General features: G+C 36.7%; 1 long non-coding RNA gene across 1 annotated transcript in view; it reads left to right on the plus strand.

Annotated features, from left to right (window-relative positions):
- Positions 1–3,299, plus strand: part of LINC03105 (long intergenic non-protein coding RNA 3105) — a 38,341-nt gene extending 35,042 nt beyond the window's left edge. Inside the window, exon 3 of the long non-coding RNA NR_170980.1 lies at positions 1,314–3,299. This is a non-coding gene — a long non-coding RNA (long intergenic non-protein coding RNA 3105). The remainder of the gene's footprint in view (positions 1–1,313) is intronic.
- Positions 3,300–8,413: the final 5,114 nt, after the last annotated feature.

Here is an 8,413-nt window from a genome sequence, read left to right on the forward strand (position 1 = left end):
TACTGAGGTAAAAATTAAAAGACCTAGGGGACTCTTCCAAAAGTTAAAACGTAAATAAATATCTTGGAACATTAATATACACCTGACGATGTCCTGAGTGAACACGCCCCACTTTAAAACAAAACAAAACATTACTATTATTCTAAAATATTAATTTAGGATTGTTATGCAAATATGTACTATTTAAATATTTATTGATGAATAACATGCATACAGCAATATAGGAACAAAATATTTATGGAATGCTTGATGAATTATTACTAAATAAATACACTTGTGTATGTAAGAATCAGATTTGCTCATGCCCTTGACACTTTCTCCTTCCCAAAGGTAACCAAGACCTTAAGAGCTAAGTGTAGATAAACTTTGTCATTTTCTACACGTGTTTTATTACAGAACATTAAAAACGTATACATAATACAAAAAAAGGATAACAGACCAGTCACCCAGATTTAACAGCTACTAGTCATGTGTCATTTTTGTTTCACCTATACTTCCAGCCATTTCCACCCCAATTTCATTATTTTTTAGCCTTTTTGGATAAAATGTATATTCATTGCAAGGTACAATGTGAACTGTGAATAGTAGAGAGATGGGGTTTCACCATGTTGACCATGCTAGTCTTGAACTCCTGTCCTCAGGTGATCCACCTGCTTCGGCTTCCCAAATTGCTGGGATTACAGGCATAAGCCAATATACTCAGCCTGAGAATTTTTTCATACTTCTAAGAAAGTACAAATCCATAGGGCACATGAGAACTGCAATGTCTATCTACAGTAAATACAGTTTGATAAATAAAATGAAAGGCAATTGACCTAAGGTGAAAAGAAAAACAAAAAACAATCAAAGCATGGGTACTATGTGTCATCTGTAAGAGCATTTGGTTAAGAATAACAAACAAACCAGTTTTATCGTTTTAATAGCCGAAATTGGCAAAATTTCTAGTTTTTCTTTCATAGGAATGCTCTTTGCAAGAAAAAATTTTCATATAGTGAGAGCAAAAATGGCAACCATTTGCAAGTAAATGTCTTATGAAATTAAGTAGCAGATATCAAGCTCATGACCTTCAGATAGTTACCCCTAACTCAATCACTTACATAGCAAGTGCAGATAATTTTCATAGCTCCCTATTAAAATTATATTTGAATGCCCTTACAAATTGTGACTGTTTTTAAATAAAGTTGACCAACTAAAATTTTGTATATGACATATGATAAATTCCCCTTCAAGTCACCTTACATTTACTTAATTTTATTAGGCAGTGTCTGTCTACCACCCAATAATACTTGACGATTCTCCCTCCATTTGCACAGGCATCATAGCTGGGAAACGGATTCACAAGACCCAGGCTGTTCCCTACATATGTTTCCTCCTCCGACATCAGTTCATCAGTCAATCAAGCCATGTGAGAGTGGAGGCCTTGTATTCCCTATTATTCTTGGGCACTCTACTCCAAGTAGGAAAAGGCCAGGAGGTCCTGTTAAAGGATGCACTCAGAGCCCGGGCTCCCTAACATATGAGAGTGCTAACCAGCAGGTGTAGACTTTTCAGGAGTGAAGAATGAGGCAGGCATTCCAAACCTGGACCTTCATCACCTTTTGTTTCATCTCAAGACAATTCTGAGGGACTGTTTTGGAGCGTGTCTGGAAGGTGAACCTTGAAGAAGAGTGTGGGCTTTGATGTGACTCAGTTGAGATCTTTCATGGGGAGGCAGGAATTCAATGCCCAGAATCTGGGCTGGTGTCTTTGAGGTCAGTAGGTTGCGTCTTTGTATCCAAGTCCATTGTTACTAGGTTGGAGGCTGGAGATTCTAAATGGCTTCCAGACCATCTCTCTGATTCTCTTTGGGAGATGGGGTCTGAAAGACAATGTCAGTAGTTTTGGGAAATTCTAGAAAGTGTGCTTGGAAACGTGGGAAGAGCTCTTGCCTAGTGCCTAAATGCTCCATTTGCAGCTCTAGCCAAGTAGATACTTGGTAGGTATAGAGCCGGGTTTGCGTTTATATCAGCAAAACCTATGTCAGAGTTGAAGAAGTAGTCAGGAAAAAGCGTCTTGGTCGCAGGCCGGGGAACATCTTAAAAGCAAACTTCTAGCCTGCTGACTCTTGGCAATGAGTGTTGGATCCTGGCTAAAGTGCCTTGAATGCAGCATGAGGCCAATCCATGAATCCAACTTCTCATGGAGAAATGTTAATATTTTTTCAGTTTGAATCAATCAGGGTGAAACTACCATGCTATTGGTTTGCTTACTTTTTATTATTTCATGTAAAATCTAAGACAAAATACATTAAATGCTTATTGACATATGTATTTATTCTTCACCAGGCTGATAATATCTGCCTAATTTTAAACTTTCTTCCATTTTGTAGGTTTCAACTTATTCTATTGTAAGATACTGTTAAATCTAATAGAGGCATTGTCACTTTTACGTATAATTTTATTTTATTTCATATATTTCCTATTGGCTTTTTACATTTAAATTATGGAGCACTTCATCATATAAAAAACTTCAATTATATTTAAACAGTAAGTCTTTGGATTTTTTTGCCTTGTAATTTCCATATTACATAATAATGAGATAAACATTAATGTTTTCAGGGTACTTTAAATTTTAGATAATTACTCATTGTATTCATGTGAAATTTGTTTTTACTGCATGTGTGGGTTGGAGGACTGTTTTCACTTCTGATTCATCTTTACTCTTATCTCATCAGAGCTCATACCTCTTGTAGTTGGGGGATTGCAGTTTATAATTCCAATAAATGGGGCAAATTCAATAATAACATAATACAAATGAGTTTGAATGCAGGACAGGTCTTCAAAGCATACACAACATGGGCCTACATATGTACAACAATAATAATTTATAAGTTACTGTTTGGATGGAAAGTAAAAGTACAGAAAATTTGTTAAAGGAAATTAAAATGGAGATCATGTCTCAATAATCTCTGAGCAGACAAAATTAGTTAGGTCTCATAAGTGATCTCAACCTCGCTTGATTTGCAAATACAAACAAAACTTAAATTATTTCTTGTAGCTGCATATTGAAAAAAGAGAAATGAAGCTCAACCAGTCAGAAGTAGCCAACAACCTTATATAAATAGAAACTGTCCAACAAGGTAAACAGACAAACAAAAAACAATAAAAAAAGTTGTGCTACCACCAAATGATTTCTTTGTTTCTACATTTTTCAAATAAATACTTGCTTCTTACACTGTCAATGAAGCACTCAATATCTTTCCGTCTGATATTTTATAATTTATCAATTGCTCTTACTCAAATAAACACTTTGCAATTTCATTGTGTCTCAAATTACTTTTTAGCAGAATAAACTAGGAATAAATATTACAAAAATATCTACGGAATATGGAAAAAACATAGAAAGTTTATGAAATATATGAATGTAGACATAAGCAAATAGACAATTTGTATCATATTCTTAGGCAGAAAAACTCAATATTATCAACATCAATTGTCCTTATAGTTATTTATAAATTCAATTTTGTTCCTATACTGATACCATTAAATATTGCAAGTACACGTTACTATAAAATGTTATATAGATGAAAACACAAACAAGAATAGACAAGAAAACTCTGAAAAAAAAAAAAACCACTGGCAAGCCCTGTGTAAAATCTTGATTGATTAAAAAACTCATGGATCACTGAAACTAAAAATTCAGAAATAAACCAAAGTGTCTAAGAAAGTGTCATAGTGCATCTTGGCTGCTATACCAAAATACCTTAGACTGGGTAAAGGATAAATAAGAGAAATGTATTTTTCACAGTTATGGAGTCTGGAAAGTGCAAGATCAAGGCAGCAGCAAATTTCGTATATGGTGAGAGCCCTATTCCCCATAGATGGTACCATCTCGCACATGGGACAAGGGCATTCCCTTCAACTTCCTTTGAAAGAGCACTGATTCCATTCATGAAGATGAAGAACTCTTGGCTTCACCACTTTCCCAAAGGCCTCACGCCTAAAATTATACACATGAATTTGAAAGGGGACATAAACATTCAGGCCATAGCAATAAAAACTACATGGGTGATGGCATCATTTATACATGAGGTGTAAAAATGTGATGTTCTTATCACAAAGGAAATAAATGATTTATTCTTCATGGCATATATCAAAATGAAGGTCCAATGAAAATATTTTTTATGAAGATAAATCTATATGGCAAAAAATTAAGTATTGATAAGTTTAACCCTACAGGTTGCATCAGGATTTTCAAGGTTTCCAGGGATGAGCAAGGCCCTGGAGTTTCCTCCTGTGACATTTTCCTGAAAGTTGCTCATGCTGTTATTCAATTTGAAAGTAGATAATATTGTTTGTTTCTCTTCCAATATTTACTAAATTCAAAATAATATAGGGCTCTTTACTCATAATTCTCAAACAATCATTCAGTCAGTGGGGCTCTGCTGAGGAAGAGCACAGACACATCCACACAAGTATAATGTTCCTCAAATAGAGGACTTCTCCTTGTGCTGGAGCCACCTATGTTGCACTCGATCAGAGGCTTTCCCAGGATAGCATTTCTCTGCAGCCCTACCTCAGTCTTAACCCTGAAAATCCCACTCAGAAGGCGACGGATGAACACCCACCCTAGCATTCTAATCTAATGGATCCTCTCTTAACAATCCCTTCCAGGGATCTGGGATCTTTCCTGGATTCGTCGGCCACACACACCTAGGCTCAAAAATTTGGACAGAAACTTTGATCCTCATTGGCCCTCCTGCCCTGTCCTACCAGCTTCTCTAGAAGTATGCTTCTCTAATTGCTCCTTAGAGACACTATCTAAGGGTATCAACCTGTGCCAATATAATTGATCTCATAAAGTGAGAAGGGAAATAGGCAAGAGTCCAGCTAGCCTAGAAGCAGTGTCTAGGGTTCCTTACCTGATTTATGTCTCTGATTTACCTAAATATTGACAAATACAGATTCACCTCTAGGCAGTAGAAAAACAGAAGGAGAAATCCCAGTTCGTAGAGGAAGAAGAAAATGCAATCAATGCTGTCTAGAGTCCCGCTTAAGCTCAGCCACAGGGTACTAAGTCTCTTCAGGAAAAAGCAATTGTTGTCCATCATCTGAAAAACTGTGGCCTGGAACCATGGGCACCGAGAGTGCACACTGCCCACTAGAGTTCCATGCCTACATCACGGAGAGATAGAATAGTCTCAAAGGATTCTTAAGAGTAATGTGGGGACCAAAAGGAGATGAATCCACAGCCTCTGCCTTACCGTCTGATCTAACTAATAGTATTTCCAGACCTTTCTGTGGGCTGCACCAGGGGTTGTTCAGAAAGAAAAAAAGTTGTTAATGTCCCACCGTTTCCCGTAGCTTCCGAGGTCTGTGTTGTTCATACCCCAGGTTCCAGGTTGTTCTCCCACTACTTCCACAGAATCAGTGTGTCTCATTCCGGTACCTATAATCTCATCTTTATTCTAGTCGCCCTCTACTTTTTTCTAGACACTTTATCTACTAGAGCCAGGTAAAATAGAGACAAGAATATTTACATAAAACTTAGCTGGAACTAAGTTGGAGTCCCATAACTGCTACTAGGCTGAGATGCAACTCAGAGGATACAAAAGCCAGGCTTGCCTAGAATTGCAGTTATGGGAAAGAAAGTCACATTTCACCCAGGAATTATTAGCACGAAATTCCAAGTTTGTGAAATAGATTCCTAGATGATTCCTAGATCCCCCAAACATTTCATCCTTATCTTGGAGGCAATCAGGAAGAGAAAATAAACCATACCTAATCAACAAATTATCTAACCAGCATGTGTGGAAAAGGAGGGAACATCATAGAGTTGGCTTGTTTTAGTACGTGTGGTGAAAAATGCCGCGAAGTCAGAGCTCAATTGGTCTCAAAAGCCTAAAAGATGGCACAGATTAGCTTCACGGGACACATGGTATGGATGGTGTCGGCATACTGTTATGCTGAAGATGTCAAGAGTGGTGACTGATATCTCAAGAAGTGGGCCAAAAGTCCACTTCTGGTTACTCTGCTTGGTATGGTCTAGGAATTCTTCAACCATGAGACAAATAGGTCAACTTTCACCAGCAACCCCAAGTCTGGTTTGCAGTATTAGACTCTGCGTTAGACACAGATTTAGGTTCAATCTGCAGCTTGATTGTTGTCACTCTCTAGAAAACAAACCCTTACCATGGACTTCTAGATGAGTGATCCAGTTAGATCAGCATCTGAGATTGTCTCCAGTTTGCAGCCCAAAAGATATTCAGACAGTCTACAGTTTCCATTGTAGATAACCAAACAGATAGAATATGTGCCATTATCCCAAACCCTGAGTTCTGACCTTTGAGAGGAGCAACCACTCATGTCAGGTTCTGTATGGCTGGCACAGGTTAAACAGCCACAGCAGCCCAGTGGACATCATGAGGTTTCACCTTCCCTGACTCATCTATGAACCAGGACCAGTCATATAGGAAACACTCAGTAAATTGGGGGCCCCACAGAGACAGCATCTTTGCTTCAGAGGATAGAAGGAGGCATAAAATTTCAACCAGCTGGGGATGCTCTAGCCCTCTATGGGTGAAACTGAGTTTGTCAGGAGTTCTGCAGCAAGCTCTTAGCTGACTTTCAAATCAGTGTAACCAGTAGTGTGTCACTGAGTCCAAAAGCCCAAAGAACACCTCTGGGAGGAGGCTAGTCCTTTACTAGAGGCTCCAAATGCCAAAATCAAGATTTTCTTGACCTCAGGATGAATTGATCAATGCAAATCTCCCCAAATATTTTCACTAAACCTTAATTGGAAAGTAAGACTCCAGATTTTTTAACTCTCACTAAACATAAATATCTGATTTTTTCACCTGAGATCTATGTATGTGTGTTGGAGCATGCCTTTACCAATCAGCATAAAGTTACATCTCTCCTTGAGCCTCTACTTTCTACTTGTGCAGAGTTTAAAATGCAGAGGTGAGAGCTTAGGGTTTTCTGGGTCTTTTGCTAAGCATGTACCTGACCTTGAGCATCCCCAATTCCCCATTTCCTTCTTGATCCCAAAGACCGTTATCACAGTCTTAATTCCCAGCAGCTTTTCCTCCTAGAGCTTTTTGACATGATTATTCTTAGACCCAACTGATATCCTTCGTTCCTGGTAGACTGCGTAGCTCATTTCCATTTAAATGCTTTTAGAAATATTAAACTATGGATTTAAGATTTATCTGCTTTTTAAATTAAGTAATGCTGCTCTTAGCCTTCCACAGGACTTGAGGGTTATAAAAAAAAAGGAAGAAAATAATTATTTTATACCAATAGTATGAAAAAGAGACTGGGAATGACTATATTAATAGCAGACAAAATAGACTTAAAAACTTAAAAGAGACAATAAGACATTATATAGTCATAGATTGTCCATTTGGCAGGAAGATAGAAATAGTTTAAACCCATACCTAATAATAAAACATTGAGATATAGAAAGCATAACTTGACAGAATTAAAGGGGCAAAAAGGCAGTTCTAAAATAATAGTTGAAGATGTTAATACTCCACTCTGAGTAATGAATAGAAAAATGAGATAGATGATAAATTAGGAAATAGAGTTCTTGAATAACTCAATGAACCAAATTGATCTAACAGATATATACAATATACTCCATCCAACAAAAGAGACTACACACTCTTCTCAAATGCACATGGGGATTTCCCCACGATGGGCTGTGTAGTAGATCTCAAATTAAATCAATAACAGAAGAAACGTTAGAAAGTTTACAAAACTGTATAAATTAAACAACATACCCTTAAACAACAAATAAGTAAAGGAAGAAATCACAGAGGAAGTTGGAACATACTTACAGAGGAAGAAAAATGAAAACAAAACACATCAAAAGTTAAGGGAAACAGCAAAAAGAGTGCTAAGATGTAAAGTTTGCAGCTAAAATGCATTTAAAAAGAACAAAGATTTCAAATAAATAATAACTTTATCACCTAGTAAATTAGAAAAATAACACCAAATTAGATGCAAAGCAAAGAGAAAGAAGAAAATATTAAAGCTTTTAGCAGAGATAAATGCAATGGAGATTATACAAACCACAGAATTCCAAAAAACCAAAAGTTCATTCTCACTTCTTCAAAAAATTAACAATTGGCAAACTTTCAGCTACACACACAAAAAATTAACAGCATATTCACATACTAAAATGAGAAATGAAAGTGGGACATTACTACTAATTCAAAGAATTAAAATGTTTAAAAAACTGTACTGTGAACTATGATAGGATGATAAATTGGAAAACGTAGATAAAGTGGGCAGATTCCTAGGTATACAAGACTTGATTACAAAGAAATACAAAATCTGAATAGATACAAAACTACTAAGGAAATGGAATCAGTAATTAAAAGCCTCTTCATAAAGAAAAGCCCTTATTTTGTTGGCTTCACTAGTGATTT

This window comes from Homo sapiens, chromosome 21, assembly GCF_000001405.40.
Source record: "Homo sapiens chromosome 21, GRCh38.p14 Primary Assembly".
Classification (NCBI taxonomy): Eukaryota; Metazoa; Chordata; class Mammalia; order Primates; family Hominidae; genus Homo; species Homo sapiens.